General features: G+C 33.0%; 1 long non-coding RNA gene across 1 annotated transcript; it reads right to left on the minus strand.

Moving 5' to 3' along the window:
- Positions 1-1,866: 1,866 nt before the first annotated feature.
- On the minus strand, positions 1,867-11,291 carry LOC105377956 (uncharacterized). Its single transcript, XR_942894.1, has 4 exons — positions 11,162-11,291; positions 7,847-7,955; positions 5,664-5,763; positions 1,867-2,000 (listed from the first exon to the last, which is right to left on the minus strand). It is a non-coding gene; the product is annotated as an uncharacterized LOC105377956 (long non-coding RNA).
- Positions 11,292-16,363: the final 5,072 nt, after the last annotated feature.

Below are 16,363 nucleotides of genomic sequence, written 5' to 3' on the forward strand. Positions count from 1 at the left end.
AAAATAATTCAGGAAATTCTTTTTAAGGAGTGTAATGAGAGATCACTCAAGTCCAATAAACATTATTTATGTGTAATATTCACTACAGCTACACATTCTCAACTCTTTGAAGATCAGCTATTTTTCCTGTTGAGCAATTCATTAGTCATGGTTCTGGTCTTGAGAAAGCGCATGTGGAGCTGAAACCTTACCTTTCCTTCCCTAAGAGAACCAATGTCACCCACTCTGCAGTCACGATTGGATAACTGAAAATCTTGTAAAGAGAAAAAAATGTTGCTTGAAGGCCTCAAATCCTAGACATGTTTCTGATTCAATTTGGTCAATTATTTTTTTCTCTTTGTGATACAAGTATATAAATACTGATTCTGTAGCCTAATAAATGAACTGAGTGTGAACTCCTTGATGAAGACTCTTTCATGATAGTGATTAATGGGCTGCAAATATTTTGAAATAAAAACCTGAAACCACAAACTAGTCATATAGTTGGCTAAATATTTTGTTTGGGTGCTCACATCTAACCTACAGATAACCTTGTGTTAACCCTGTATTCCAAACCAAGAAGGAAAGGCTGGGGTTTTCAAGAGGGCGATTTGTGGTTTGGGTTTGGTCTGTCTGAAAAGAGCTGTGGCTCACAGTCTTAACGAGGTTCGTCTTCCAAGTCTCTGACCAACTGAGCAGAGGTTCTCACAGAAGCAAGTTGTGACAGCTGGAATTTGGCATCCACAGCTTCTTAGAAAAGGCTGCTGATCCCAGACTGATAGTTTTAAAACCTTAAAACAAGACTGTTACCATTCTTGAAATTTGTTTCAGCAGGCGCCAGGGAGGAATGTTACTGCCCCTCATTGCTAGACGGGAGTCTCGTCCCAGCATAACTGAAGATCTTCTGGGCTCTGGGCTCCTGCCTCATTCAGAGATTATGTTTCCCTGTCTGTGGCAGGATGCTGGCAAAACCACATGCTTTGTTTAAACATATGGAACGAGTGGTAAGATCAGCAAAGGCCCTTAAAGCCAATGTCAAAAGGCCATCACCATATGAGAGAACTGAGCAAAATGCACTGAGGACAAGCAATTTGTCTGAATCTTGCAGAAGTAGCTTTTAAATCCTTTATAAAAAATTAAGATTTATTTTTGAATTTTGATACATCTTGTCCAGCTTGTAATTTGTTCACTCTCATGCAAAAGAAAGCATACATATGCTATTAACTCTTGACTATGTAGAATATAAAACTCACTTTGTAGGTGATTCATGGTCTTTCATTTCCCTCTTTAATTTTTCATTTTTTCTAATGCTTTAGGACTAAATTATTTCTTCTATCAAAAAAATAAAAGTCAGCAAGGAATAAGAAACTAAATGTTTCCTTCTTTGTAGCATCTTTGAGAAAAACAACTCTCAACCCTGGAGCACGACTTTGTGATTGGTGACAGTTAAAGACCATAAAATATTTATGTGAGGATATGTAATTTTTTCTAATATTTCAGCTTCTTGTTCTGTCACTTACTAGTGTGTGATCATGGGCAAGACTCCAAACCTCTAGAAGCCTAAATTCCCTACAGTAAACAATAATAATAAAGTTACGTGTTGGTTGTGTGGATTTAATGACTAAATATGAAAATATTATTTGAAAACAATAAAATAAGTGTTACATTATATTGTTATAATCTTTGCTCATGGTAATTCAATGAAATCTTTATATTTTCTGATATTTATAAAATAGAATTTAAAATTATAATATTGATAGATTTATTAAGTTAAATAAAAGTTTTATTTTTAAGTCACACAAAATTGAGAAGGAAAAAGAAAATAGCAAACCGTGAAGAGTTAGACCAGGCCAGTTGGAGTCAGAACTTTAATAATTACCTCCTAGAAGCTGGAGGGGTCAGCCAAGAGGTACTTCTGGTACTGTGGGACTCCAGCATGCCCCAATGGCTCAGGAAGGAATCCTGGGCTTGAAATTTCAATTGCTTTAGTCATCATCCCTTTCAGTGTCAGTGAAAGCCAACTGTAAGGACAAATTCACAGAAAGAGTTAACAGGATGAGGGCAAATAAAGACCCAGGATTGAACTCTGGGGGTAGGGAAGGAACAGTATTTAAGGAATGCTTGGAAAAATATGACTATCCAAACCTGAGAAGCAATACCTAGCAAATTAGGAGGAAAACCTAGACTGAATGGTTTTTCTGAGACCTAATGGGCAAAATTCCAGCAAGGAAAATGTAGTCATTTGTTGTGCTGTCAATGCCACTGAGAAGTCAAATAAGATGAAAACTGGAAAAGGTACCGTAAAGAGGCCAGTAATGAGATTGTATGAGCAGCTTAAATGAAATGAGGGAAGGGTCTAGATTTCAGTGAGTTGAGGTTGGACTAACAATGAAGTAAAGAAAGACAGCAAATGTGGAACACTCCTCATCTTTTTGTTTTAAGGCAGGAGACACTTGATATTGAAAAAATATCTTTAGATAAATGAGAAAGAAAGTGCAATCCCAGGAGAAAAAGAAGGATCACTGATGGAGTAAGTTCTCTTAGGAGCTGAGAGGGTGAAATACTGTGCATTGGCAGGAAGATTAGATATGAGGTGGAGAGAGAAAGAATGGAGGGAGATCAGGATAGTACAGACAGGGAAGTTTACAGGTTTAGAAGCAGGAAAGAAATTGAGCATCTCTATTTTATATATGAAATACTCAACCTTAGTATGCTGCTATATATATTATATTTAGTATATTTCAACAGAGCTCAATGCAATGAAAATAAAATGGGAAAACTTAATTTGAGCTATTCATCTTTATAGTTAAATAGTGACCAAAAGAGGTGCAGAAACAAAACACTATAAATAACTGTTTGCTCATACATTTCAATTAATATATTGAGAGCTTAAGAAGTGTCAGAAAGTTTGTTTTTACTGAGGGTACAAAAGAAAAAGTGAGATTTAGTTCCAACATGAAGGATAATAACTAACCGTACAAGGCTATGGCTTGACTGTAAGAATTCTTAACATCAGAATGGACTCCTTGCAAGAAAATCAAGTATTTTACAGCTAGCTGGAAAGCACCATGGTTACTGTTTTGTCTGGGACTATTTAATAACTAAGCATGGACCTGTTGCCTGGGTGGGGATTGACAATGTGTCTTGTTCAGGCAATGAATCTCTAGAACACTTCTGAGGCATTTAAGACTATGAAATTGAATCTTGTGTGGCATAAAATCAGTCCCACAAATTTAAAAGCAGGACAGAATGTAGATATCCCCCAATATTTTTACAATGTGCAGAATCTTACAAAACAATACATGTAATATTGTTTCTATACTACTCATAGATGATTAGTATTATAACAAAGAAAGCTGTTAATACTTAAGTTTAGTATATTTGGGTTGAGATACCTTTATTGAGAAATGAATTTGCCTTTTGGGAAGTTATTCTAAATATCCAGGAGCATGTGTGTGTGTGTGTGTGTGTGTGTGTGTGTGTGTGTGTATTCCATTATAAAAACTTTAAATAAGCTCAGTGAACATTGAAATTTACCATGCAAGTATATAATATTAATTTTCAGTAGCTTACACTTTGATATATATTTACTAGATAGAATTAACTAAATCGTTCTCCTAATAGCAAAACTTTAACTTGTGAATTAGTGTAAGATCATTTTAGTTCCACTCTGATTTTTACATTGATTAACAAGACATGGAAATTGTAAATTAAATTCTTAGAAAAATTTAGGAATTGTCCCATAAAATTATCTGTGTGTGTGTGTTTGTGTATTCTTAGAATTGTAAAAAGCCTGTAAGAAACGAGATGTTTTGAATTAGTCTGAAATTAGTATTCAATAGCAGGTATGTGCTTTTGTAAGAATGTGTTAGGTCCCAATGTCTTAATTTTGATATTCAATTGAATGTTTGCTGTTTTAGACTTGTGTCTTTTGTTTCCTATTTTTCTTCCTGTTAAGAGTTACAGATTTTCTGGGAGGTTTCAGCCCAGTATAAAAGAGAAGCTCTGTCTACATGTAATAAATGCACACAAATACACACATGTATAGATACTTGAGCAACTACCATGCTATTCAATTTTTGGGTAGAACTTCTCTTGAGATTGAACTTCTGTGAGATGGATTTGACATTGCAGAACAGATTAGGTAGCCACAGAAGTGAGCTATCCTTTTCATTATTCTTTTCAATGGAGGACCTGCTGTAGGAATATAGTAAGTGACGCAATTTACAGAAACTAATAACTTACGTTATCACTTGTTATGAAGTCAGAGTTCCAAGCCTGAAAAGTATTTAATCTGCAATTGTTTTGAATTGTTCATCCTTTTTAAAAACTGTTTTCTCAGGCAAGAAAACAAATAACTACATCCGAAGTTTTCTAAGTTCTAGTGAACAACAACTCAAGGAGAACCATTTAATTGCATAAGTTTAAGATAGATTTAAAAATTTCAAGAAGCCAAAAATTTTTTTACCCCAAGTGCAATATATTTTATTGCCAATTGAAAATGTGCAAAGGAACAAAAAGAACCACATATCTGGATTTTTAATTTTTTGCACTGTGCAAGAATGGTCAATTTGCCTAAGAGCTAACTTTCCTCAGTAAAACTTGCATATTTTCTCACCCCAAATGACCTTGTGGAAAGTTGTTGATATCGCTTTGCATATTTTCTGTAAATACTACTGTAAATGCCACTAATATGCAACATGTGAATGGACTTGTTAGTAACCATTTAAGTTATTAGGAATCTATGTTTGCTATTTAAGAATCTATTAAGCATAAGATTAATAACTCATTTGCAAAGATATAGCAGATACAATTCTCTGAAATTTTATGAATGATTAGATACTTTTATAGACAAAATAATTGTCTGAAATTATTGAGACAACTCTCTCTTCATGCCTAGGATGGTGACATAGCTGAATGGCAATTAATATTGGTTAAATAAAGAGATATTATATTTATTTAATATGTGTATATATACAGTCAAAAAGTACATTTCACTCTTAATTTAAAGCAAATAAAAAATAAAACTATTATATTAAGATTGAAATACTTTATTAGAAAGATACATTGATTAGTGCAAAGATCTCACATACAAATGACATAGTCCTATACATAATTCAGTGATACTTTGTGAGAAAAAAAACCAGAATTCCTATTAAATGTAGCACAGATACTCTGAACTTAAAAATATAGAAAAACGTATCTAATAATTCAAAGAAGACAAATACTAAGGGCTAATAAATGACCTAAAGAAATTTTTATGGTAGCAAAAACAAAGCATTTCTAGTTGTTCTATCTTGCAAATGTTGAGGACTATCAGCACATAGAATGATTTAGAAAAATTGGTTTTATTGAGGTTGACAGATTAATTACAGATATCAGGGGAAAAACTCAGGAGTGCTAATTTGAAATTTTTTTAAGTCAGTGATAAAAAACCTTGGAATTATTTAAAGTTTGACTAGGGTAGTTGTCAGGATCTCTTGAAAAAATATGCTTCTGGGAACATGGTGGTATGAATAAGTATTTCCTTTTCCAACATCTATGATAATAAATAACGATTAAAAATATGCTAGCAGATGGGAATGGACATTTTGGTCTTTAGGGAAAATGAGGTGGATTCTCTATGCATATAAATTACATGCTAGGAGTTGCCTTTGAAAGTTGCTTTAACTCTTTCAACTCACTGGAAACCACTTCCACGGTCTTTCCATGTCATTGAACTCCCCAAGCTGCCTGTGAGAATATAACTTGGACATACATAGGCTCTGAGCAATCCTATTTTATCTAAGAGAACAGAAAAAAACAAAAATAAGCATATATATATGAAACTAAGCATATATGAAAATAAGCATATATATATGAAACTAATATATAAAACTTATAAACTTTCCTCTAGTTAAGTTTTATTTGTTCAGTGATAACTTTATACTACTTTAAAATATTGAACTTTACCCACATCTGATACAATATGAATGCAACTAAAGTGTTCATTACAGGAAAAAAGGAGATGAATGATCTCGCAATTTTAAGATCTGTGTAAAAATGTTACCCAGGCACCTTTCCCCCAAGAAAAGTCAGTGACAGAATGTGTTACCATAAATAATCCAAGTAAAATCAACAGAGTCTCTTTGGATCTATAATTGATGTGAAACAAGGCAGAACAAGGTTGTTGTGGGTGGCAGTGGGGGGCTTCCAGGAGAAAAATGTTGTCACCCATTTTGCCCAATATTTGCAAGTATTTCATTTAAAAAAGTCTAAACTCCTCAAAATGACACATTAAAATGAATGTATATTAATATTTTAATCATTTAAAAGATTTATTTAAAAAATTGACTCAACAAAGCTAATAAAATTTGTTTCCCTTTCACCACACAAGACTTTTAAAAAACATTGTGGACTAGTTTTGTTTTTTTTCCCGTAAAAGGTTTTCCAAATTGGAATGCTGGCAGCTCTTGCTATCCCTGAGAAAAATAGCAAAGCAAGAATTTTTGTAATTAGAGCTGCTTAAAAATCAGAGTTTACCCACATTGCAGAATATTCTCATGTTTTAACTAAAATAGCTGTGATGTCTGAGCCACACTTGGGGCTAATGAAAAATGAAGGCCACAAGAAAGGTAAGGTATGTGCATTCCCGTTTTAACTCTGTAAATGGAAGGAGAAAACGACAAACACTTGAAAGGGCATCTTATGAGGAAACTCATTGATAGGTTTTACATGTTTTCATGATTATTTAACGTGCAGGTTTAGTGAAGTGAAGCGATATCCAGCTTCTCTATAATTCTCAGTCTTTTACTAATAGTCATTAAATGTTCTCATGAACATTGGAAAGCAGAATCCCATTATGTAATAATCTATAATTATCTCTGTTAACAACAGAATTAAAAAGTCATTAGAATAGTTTCTTTGACTCTGAATTTTAAAAACGTGAAAATAACCCAATGGAAAGAATAACTGAAATGGATTAAAATACTAAAACATTGTTTCCAAGGCTCCCAAAGGTAAATAACGTATATAGTATTTCTAATGTATGTATGTTTAAACTAGAAGATGATTAAAGGATTTTAAAAACAAAACCTCTGAAATCATTCCTGGGAAAGTATAATTTTTATGTAGCTACGATTATGCAGTTAAGATTTTTGCTTTTTAAAATGTATTCTACATACATTGATGATTAAATTTATTATTATTATCAGTGAAGATAGTATTTTAACTCTGGCATAGGAAGAGATCACTCCTACATCTTTGGTAATGTTGACATCTCTCTGGATCTATGAATTGTTTGGTGAAACAAATTAGGCCTTTAGCATTCTACATAACTCTGAATAAGTAGTGTTAACAATATTAAAGCATTCTCTTATGAGCCTATTTGCTTTACTTTAATTATAAATTCCAAGTAATATGTACACTTATGTGTTTAATCCTTTAATATTAATTTTGAGCCCAAATAATTGCATGCCTTCTGTTGCAGTACACTTAGACAAAAATGTTTATTTGTAGTTTTGTTTCTGCCTGTGCAATTTTTTAAAGTAAGAATTAGTTTAGTCAACACAGAGAAATGTTTTTACAAGTGTGATAAAGAAGCATTCAGTAAATTTTATTTTTTGACTTTTTAACCAATTGTTAACTTGCATTGCCAAGTTTCAAGATGGCTAATAACTGGTTGTGTTTAATAAGTCATCCATTTTAGTTAAATGGATTAACAGGTTGTTTTTCCTTAAACTGACCACTTTTTTTTTTTTTGGGATGGAGTCTCGCTCTGTCGCCCAGCTGACCACTTATTTTAGTGGCTTAATTAGAACAAATGTTTGCGTGACCAAACTTGCAAATCATGTATTCACAATTCAAAAATCATTTAGTGAGTACTTACTATGTGTCTGATGCTGGGCTAACTGCCAATGATCCATTAATGGACAAGTCAATTATAGTCTCTAGCTTTAAGCTGATTAGGATCCGGTTCCAGTCCCAGCCTGTTCTGCCTGTCATTAGGTAAAATGAAATTACTAGTTTTCTTTGGTCATCACTGTGATTCTTCATCATTGCATCATTGTGATTATTCCATTTCTGACCTTTGGTAATGAGGTGGAAATGTAATCATCGTAAAGGCTGGCCATAACTTCTCTTTAGGGTGGAAATTATCTTTTTTATGGGAATATACCTTGGTCAGCCCCTTGGGAGTAGAGAGTGACTCTGAGGGAATTTGGATGTTTGAAAAAAACCGGGGCTGTACTGCTCAGTAAGAAACAAGAGGGCAAATTTCTTTATTTCTATGAGGGAGGAAGAGTGAAGAAAAACAAGAGTGGAGAAGAAAGAGGAAAGAGGCAGAAACCTTAAAGTTAGTGAGAGATGAGACGGCTCTCAGGAGAAAAGTTAGATGAAATTCTCTTGTGGTAGGTGGCCAGAGGATATTACAGAGCAGGAACACAAATGCCAAATGTTCAGTTTGAAGTTTTGTTGGTTGATGCTACTTTTTACATTTCTGTAGTATAAGTATTTCTTCTACCTTACTCAAATCATTGGTAAATACTACAACTTTGCGAATGCTTTGAGTGAATGGGTTGTTTGTGGAACCCGTGGGCAGGACTGAATTTTACATCTGTTTTTGACTGATCCTAAAATGTGTTACTTGAGGAAACAGGAACCCAGCAGCAGATGTGACTGTAAGAACATAAATCTTCTCCACCTCCCAGAATGAATGAATGTGTTAAAGAGAGATTTGGACTTCCAGAGAACGGTGGAAATTATAATTTAACTAACTTTCCTGAGATTTCTAGAAGTCAAGAGACTTGTGTTAATCTAGGTTACTCATGTGCCCTAGAATCTGACAAGTGGTTTTCTTGCTTGCTTCTGAGACCTGCATGCCAGGCCTTAGTTCCAGGGTTTATTTTTTAAATTGTCTATACTCTTTGGGACACAAATCCTGACCTCCCTTTATAATCTTTTTATATCATTCCATCATTCCTGCATTTATTCATCAATTTCTTTACTCGAAGTTATCAAACATTTCCTGAATACATAACCTATGACTGATGATAGAGTAGCTGACAAAAATACAAAGATGAATAAGGCCTAGTCTCTGAAGATGCTCATAGCCTGGTGTGGGAATAAGACATAAATTTAAAACAGTTGCAATAGAAGGCAGTAACGGCTAGGGTAGAGATTCAGGGAAGATGAAGAACATACAAGAGGAAGACTTGTTTCTGTCTAGTTTTTGATTCTCAACAAGGGTGAACAGCCATTGTAATTTACTCAGGACTATCTCAGATTTATAGCTGAAAATCCCGTGTCCCGAGAAACCCCTCAGGCATATGCAAAGTCAACTATGACAGTTTCCCTACCTATGGAAGTGAACACTTGATCTTCATATTCAGAATTTTATTTACATTTGGCACAGACAAATAAGAAAGAGTACTTTAAGCAGAAGGGACAACAAATACAAAGGCACAAAGTTATGGAACAACATGCTGTGTTTCAGGAAGACAGAACAGCTCAGTGTGGCTGGTGTATCGTGTTCCTTTTGAAGATTGATAGGAGACTGCTGTAAACAGGTAAGGGAGGAGCCAGATCATGAAGGACTTGGTATATCATGCAAGGAAGTCCACATTAGATCCAAAAAGGCTTTAGGGGGCATCGAATCGTTTTAAGCAGAGAACTGATCCAAGTTTTGTTTTAGAAAGATTACTCTGGGAAAGTGTAGTGAATCAATTGGAAGTTGACCAGGACTTTGGCAAGAAAACTGGTAAGCAGGGTATTGTAATGTTTCAAGTGAGAGATGATAAAATTCTGCACTAAGAAACCGTTGGTGATGATGGAGAGTAGGAGGCACATTCTACAGATACTTAAGATGAACACCACCATAAGTCTGTGCCCCATTGAAGGTGGGGCTGAGAACAGCGAGAGTCAGTCAGGAGGGTTAGGCAGGTCCCTGAGAGAGGTCCAAGAGTTGATGAAGGAGGAACACATTCAGAAAAGAAAAATTAATAGTCAGGAGTGAAACCATAAATAAGAGATAAGGAGCAGATTAGAAGTGAAGTCAGCTCAGAAACAACTCAAGATAGATGAGGACACTCAAAAGAACTTGAATCAGCAGTTCCATGTTTGTAGTTTATCTTTATAGAAAGGCATTGCATGTGGGTGTGTCAGTTTGGATTAAACATCCACGTTAGGGATGGACAAATATGTGGAATTGTCATTTTAGGTAAAACGGTACTTTTCCTGTTTTTTTTTTTTTCTAAATCCATTTTAAAATTCTGTTTTTAGTGTAAGTACTGATCCTCATTTTTAATAAAAACAAGCTATTGTTACTGATATTAATACTCCCTATGGAAGCTACTTAGTTGTGACAGGAAAAGTGTTCACATCTTCTTCTATTGCTATCTATTTATTTGGTACTGACAGCAAAATGGCAGTTTACTCTACAAGGAGCACAGGGAATATTTGTTCTTAAGAGAGAGGTTTAAGACTCACCACAGTAGAAAGTAGTCAATTGGAAGAAAATTTAAGCCACATACATGTTCAATGTAAAACCTAAATCCTCCAGTTTTACTTTTTCTCATGCCACACAGATTACTTAAAATAAATTATTTTTAAAAATTTATACCTATAATTTACCTGTTGAATCATTTTCTGAGATCTAATCAAGATGGTCTGTTTTCAAAACAAATGAGCTAAAACCCGAATTGTTATCTTGTGTGTATTCTATGGATTTTTATGCTTATACACATTAAAGACTGGCTTTTATTAACACATTTTCATTTTTCGCCCAATTTTCACATTGCACAAATTATTCCCTGTGAGTAAATTGAGCTCTTTATTTATTTTTTTCTTTTTTAAAAACACATTGACTTCTTCAGATTACTAGGGTTCAGTTTTCAATATATCAAAGTCATTATTTTTCAAATGATTCAACAGAACACTTAATTCACACGATTTTAGCATGTATGATTTAAATCTTATGTTTATGTAATCACTTCACTTTAATATGAAAGATCCTGATAAATTGAATCATCTGTTTCTGCTTGTTATAGCCAGTTATTTCCTTAAGCTAATAGCAGGGGTTTTCCAATTTGGATTGCTAACGAATAATTTGCTTTTGTTTTTGTTTTGCGTATTTGTTTTGCTCTGCATAATAAGAGTTAATTTGCTAAGAAGACTGTCATGACAATTATATAACAACAATACTTACAGTACCACAATGATCAGATGAAAAGCCACATTTCAATTTAACATTTTACTTTGAAGAAAGATGGAACTGTACTCAAAATTTTGTAAATTCTTTAAAAGTTAATATTTGTTGGCATGTTTAATGTTGAGTAGATTCCTTCTTACTGGTGAGTTGTCTTACTTGAAACAAAAGCAGGAATTATTTTAAACCAATAGATATGGAAAATGTTTTATAAATTAATTTTACATTAAAGCAACTTATAAATATTTTTTTTTAATGTTTAGAAGATTAGTATCTTTTTTTGTCTTGCTGCAAATGCACAACGGATTAGTAAACAAAGCCCTGGCCCCAGTGACCTCATTGGAAGTACATATATTAATGCACATTTTATTTTCAGGTATCTTTTTTTCTGGGCACTGAGTTTTTCCTTTATATAAAACTGATGATGGCATAAATCTTTGTAAGAAGACAGATTAAAATTGGTCCTCTTCAAAATGCTTTGGGTGTTGCATGACAGTCAGTCTGGAAAGAGATTTTATATTCACTATCTCTTACCACAGTGTAATGAAAACTGTCACACAGTTCTGTTGACAATAATAAATGATTAATAATTTTGATAAAATATTTTTCCAGAAATCAAATACTGTCTACAAATCCATAAATTCTGTATCAATGTTAACATTTATCTTGACATATAAGATATAATTTTGTACCATAATCAAATCATTAACTGTGTTCTCTCATTTTTCATTCACTAGAATGTCAAGGAAATAGGACACAGTGTTCAATATGGTCATGAATTTAATAAAATAAGAAATGAGACAAAGACAAATGTTTGGTGATCATTTTTATTCCAAATGAAAACATTTGTGATGACTTTTTCTTTTTTCATTTCTTTTCAATCATATACACCTAATTTTTTGCTCTGTTTTTTCACAATTAAAAAATGTTGATTATTATTTTAAAAGATGTGGAGTTGGAATTCTAGACCATCTTGTCTTAGTTTTTCTCTTGACTCTTTCAACTTTTCAATCCTAAAACTATTTTTGGGGAAAGATATATTTCTAAAATATTTCCTTTTATCAACATAAAATCACTTTTACTAGGCTAACTCGTTTGAAATTATCAAGTTCTATTTTTAAAAACATAAAAATAAAGCAATAAAATTAAAAAGAAATAACCCACCGAAGTCAAAAGCAAAGGCTAAAACTGGCATAGTTAAGCAACAATAAGCTATAAAAATAACGTTAAATCTGTCTTTTTTGTATTTGTACCTTAAGGCCTGGCACATAATAGGTGCTCAATAACAATTGTTCAGTGATTAAATAAATTACTTTCTCAGCCAAGGATCTTAAGCAATATTGTATAAAGAATGCATATGTCATTTATAGTTAGTGAACACCCAACTTTTACTATTACAGTTTTTTTGTAATTGAAGCAATCCCCATTCTAAAACTCAATAGCTAAGGACATTGAATAAGTTGCTTCACCTCTCTGGTTCATAGTTTCTTTGCGTGTAAAGTGGGGGTGATAATTTTGTGTGATGGTAAAGAAAAAAATACCGTAAAGGGAGTCCCTAGTACAGGGCAAATAAATGCCTTTATTACCATTAAACTGCTGCAAATACTAATATTAGTAGTAGTACTATTGCTGCTATTATTAGAGTATTATTAAATTATTAGAATGCTGCCCCCTCAATATGTTTGATAACAGTTAAGTAGTTGAATTATGTTATTATTAATCTCAAATAAAATAATGTTAATCATTAAAAATGTTGTGAGCAAAAATTTTCAATTACTTTAAAAGTACAAATGTTTTTTCTTTTTAATAGAAGGTTGTCATGGACTGATTTATGTCCCTCACCTCTGTACCCCCAATTCATACATTGAAGCCCTAGCCCTCAATAGCTCAGAGTGCCATTGTATTTGGAGACAGGTTCATTAAAGAGATGATTCATTAAAATGAGATGCTTAAGGTGGACCCTAATCTAATTAGACTGAAGTCCTTATGAGAAGCAGAAATTTGGACACACAAAAAACCATCAGTGATGCACACTCACAGACGGAAGAACATATGAGGACACAGCAGTAAGGTGGCCATCAGTAAGCCAAGGAGAAAGGCATAGGGAGAAACCAACTCTGCTGATACCTTGGTCTTGGACTTCCAGCGTTTAGAACGGTGAGAAAATAAATTTATGTTGTTTGAGCCACCCAGTCTATGGTATATTTTTATGGCATAAAGCAAACTAATACAATGGTTATTAGATCTAGATAGTATATTTTCAGCAAAATTTGTCTATGTTTACTACTTTGTTATTATTTTTTCTTTGCCTCATTGTTTCTATGGATTTCTTCAAAATGTTAAGCTCTTTAGGGGAAACTTTACCATGAATAGTTTTAGAAAGCAAGCTTGCATAAATGTCTGAAAAGGAAACATATTATTCACAGGTACATTTTAAAGTTACTTTAATGATTTATACCTTTGTTGCCTACATTATTTGATAAATGGTCTTAAAATCCTTATGAGTCTTAAATACTAAACTCTGATTTAAAACTTTATTATTATATAAAATATAAAATTGAGAAAAATGTATCTGTTAAAACAATGACTTCAAGCCTTCGAAAATTGTTATATCCATATTGTCAATGTGTATCTTTTAAAATTTTTACAATACTTGCTATGAAATCTAAAGCACATAAGTGAAATATGCCACCCACATTCATATATTAAATATATGAATTTGAAAATATAAAAAATTTTAAAAATATTATACCAAAATTTACCTTACTAAAATGGTTTGTCTTTTATTTTCACATTTATTTAGAACTATATCACATTTTTATATATCTCATTATAGAATTTGGACAATGTTTGCTATATGGCAAGAGATTCTGACCCATGTGAAATAATTCACATGCCTAAAATTAGAAAAATGAGATAATAGGAGTTCCCCCAAAATGTAGCTACCTTTCATAATCAATCCTAAAATAGTGTTTGTTATTCTCTAGTATCAACTGATGAGCAGTAAGTTAATAAGTATAAAATATTCACAAAATTTTCTTTTATCATGGTCAATTTACTGAATAAATTTATTTAGTTTTTTGTTAGACAATACAGACTTGCTGAATGGATGAATGAAATGAATGAAGCATGGCAACCAAATAAATTCAGTCTAGTTTATTTGATACTATGTTAGTAACTAGGCTTCCAAGACATGATGACTCTTTTTTTTTTTTTTTTTTTTTTTTTTTTTGAGAGGGAGTCTTGCTCTGTTTGCCCAGGCTGGAGTGCAGTGGCATGATCTGGGGTCACTGCAACCTCCGCCTCCTTGGTTCAAGCAATTCTTCCTACCTCAGCCTCCTGAGTAGCTATAATTACAGGTGACCACCACCACACCCAGCTAATTTTTGTATTTTTAGTAGAGATGGGGTCTTGCCATTTTGGCTAGGCTGGTCTCCAACTACCGACCCCAAGTCAAAAAGTCTGCCTCAGCCTCACTTGAAATGGATGAACTCATGAGTCTGTTATGACAGGACATCAGATCTAACCAAATTCTTGCCACTTTATATTGACTATAGATAGATCTATTTGTATCTGCCTCTTATGCAACATTCAAAATCTCATCTAATTTCATATGAGATGAAATCCTGAGCTTGCTCATTAAAATGTCTAAAATGTTTTTTCTGCTTTAAGATAAAGAATAACCTTTTTTCTTTTCTTTCTTTCTTTCTTTCTTTCTTTCTTTCTTTCTTTCTTTCTTTCTTTTTCTGGGGGTGAAGGAATGTCATTAATGTATCTTGAGACACTAGTATCAGTTCTTTTATATAGCCAAAAACCTATCTCTCCAAAAAAGAATGAAACTAGTGTCCCTAAATTGAAGATGTATGCTTATGCAATTGACTTGAATCTGTTGGAAAAATGAGTATATCATTTTATAAAAAAGTTAAATCATTGATGTCAGATGTCAGAGCTTACAATAATCAGAATGCATAGCATTGTATACAGCTTCATGATTCTAAAATCATTTGCACAAGCATCTTGAGAGTGAGAGAAAGAAAGAAAACGAATTTATCACTGAATACAGAAAACACATCACCCTTTTTTACCACCTGTGACCCACGCCCTGCAGCCATGTGTTATGATTCTGTACCAAGCAATTTCAAGGAGATGCTCTTGGAGGATATTTATGGGAGGACTTTCCTGCTCTTCTGGATCACTATTTCACCTTTTGCCGTGCCAAGTCAGAATCAGAATGACTGATATTCTAAGAGGTATATAAAAATCAAATTCATCAAGAAACCAAGCATTCACTAAAGGATGGTATTAATTTGGAAGTCTGCATTTTTACATGTGAGTTATATAACCAAATCTTCATTGAAACATTGCGGTTCACTTTGCCAATCCTAGTTTTAGAATATGAAAGGTAAAATTAAGTAGAGAACAAAGTGTTTAACATTTCACAAGCTTGAAGAGGAACAATGGTTATTTACTAACATCAAACTTCAAAAAATTATTTCTAGGACTGGAATATTGGCCTCCATTTTTTTTTACACTAAAGTTACCATTTTAATGTGAAAGACTGAACAGACTAAATGTTTTCTAAAGTAATTTATTTTTACAATATTTTCACATAGTTCAACTTGAAACTGCACTGAGATTGTAATACATTGGAAACAAAATTTAATTTTCAGATCAACCTTTAGTGTATCTTTTGAAAAGTTGTGTATAATATAAACTTCTAAGATGCTCTTGCCAAAAATGAATTTTTATATCCTGTCATTCAAATTATGCATGAGGTTTACTAAAAGCTCCATCTGAATTGTGAGAAACTGTTTCCTAAATGTGTATGTGTACAAACAGGCACACATTCGTGTGCACATATATCAGAAAAACATGTCTTATATTATTCCTATAACAAGTTCTCCATTCTGCTACCATTATCTGTAAGTTTCTGTGATTGCAGTAGTTTATAAAAGGACTTATCTTTCCTGTTAAAGCAATAAGCATCCAAAACTCAGAGTGTGGATGTTCAAAGTCTAGTTGAAAATAAATATCATTATTCATATTTTGATTTTATGCACAGCTGTGGTCTTCCTTTCTCTGTTGTTAACAGAGCTGTCTTCTCTTTTCAGTGAAAGCAAAACAAAGAGCAGATTGGAGATTCATTTATGGTGAGGGTTAATGTTAGTTAACATTCAATCTTTAGTTATAATAAGCATATAC

The sequence above is a fragment of the Homo sapiens genome, chromosome 6, assembly GCF_000001405.40.
Source record: "Homo sapiens chromosome 6, GRCh38.p14 Primary Assembly".
In the NCBI taxonomy this organism is placed as follows: domain Eukaryota; kingdom Metazoa; phylum Chordata; class Mammalia; order Primates; family Hominidae; genus Homo; species Homo sapiens.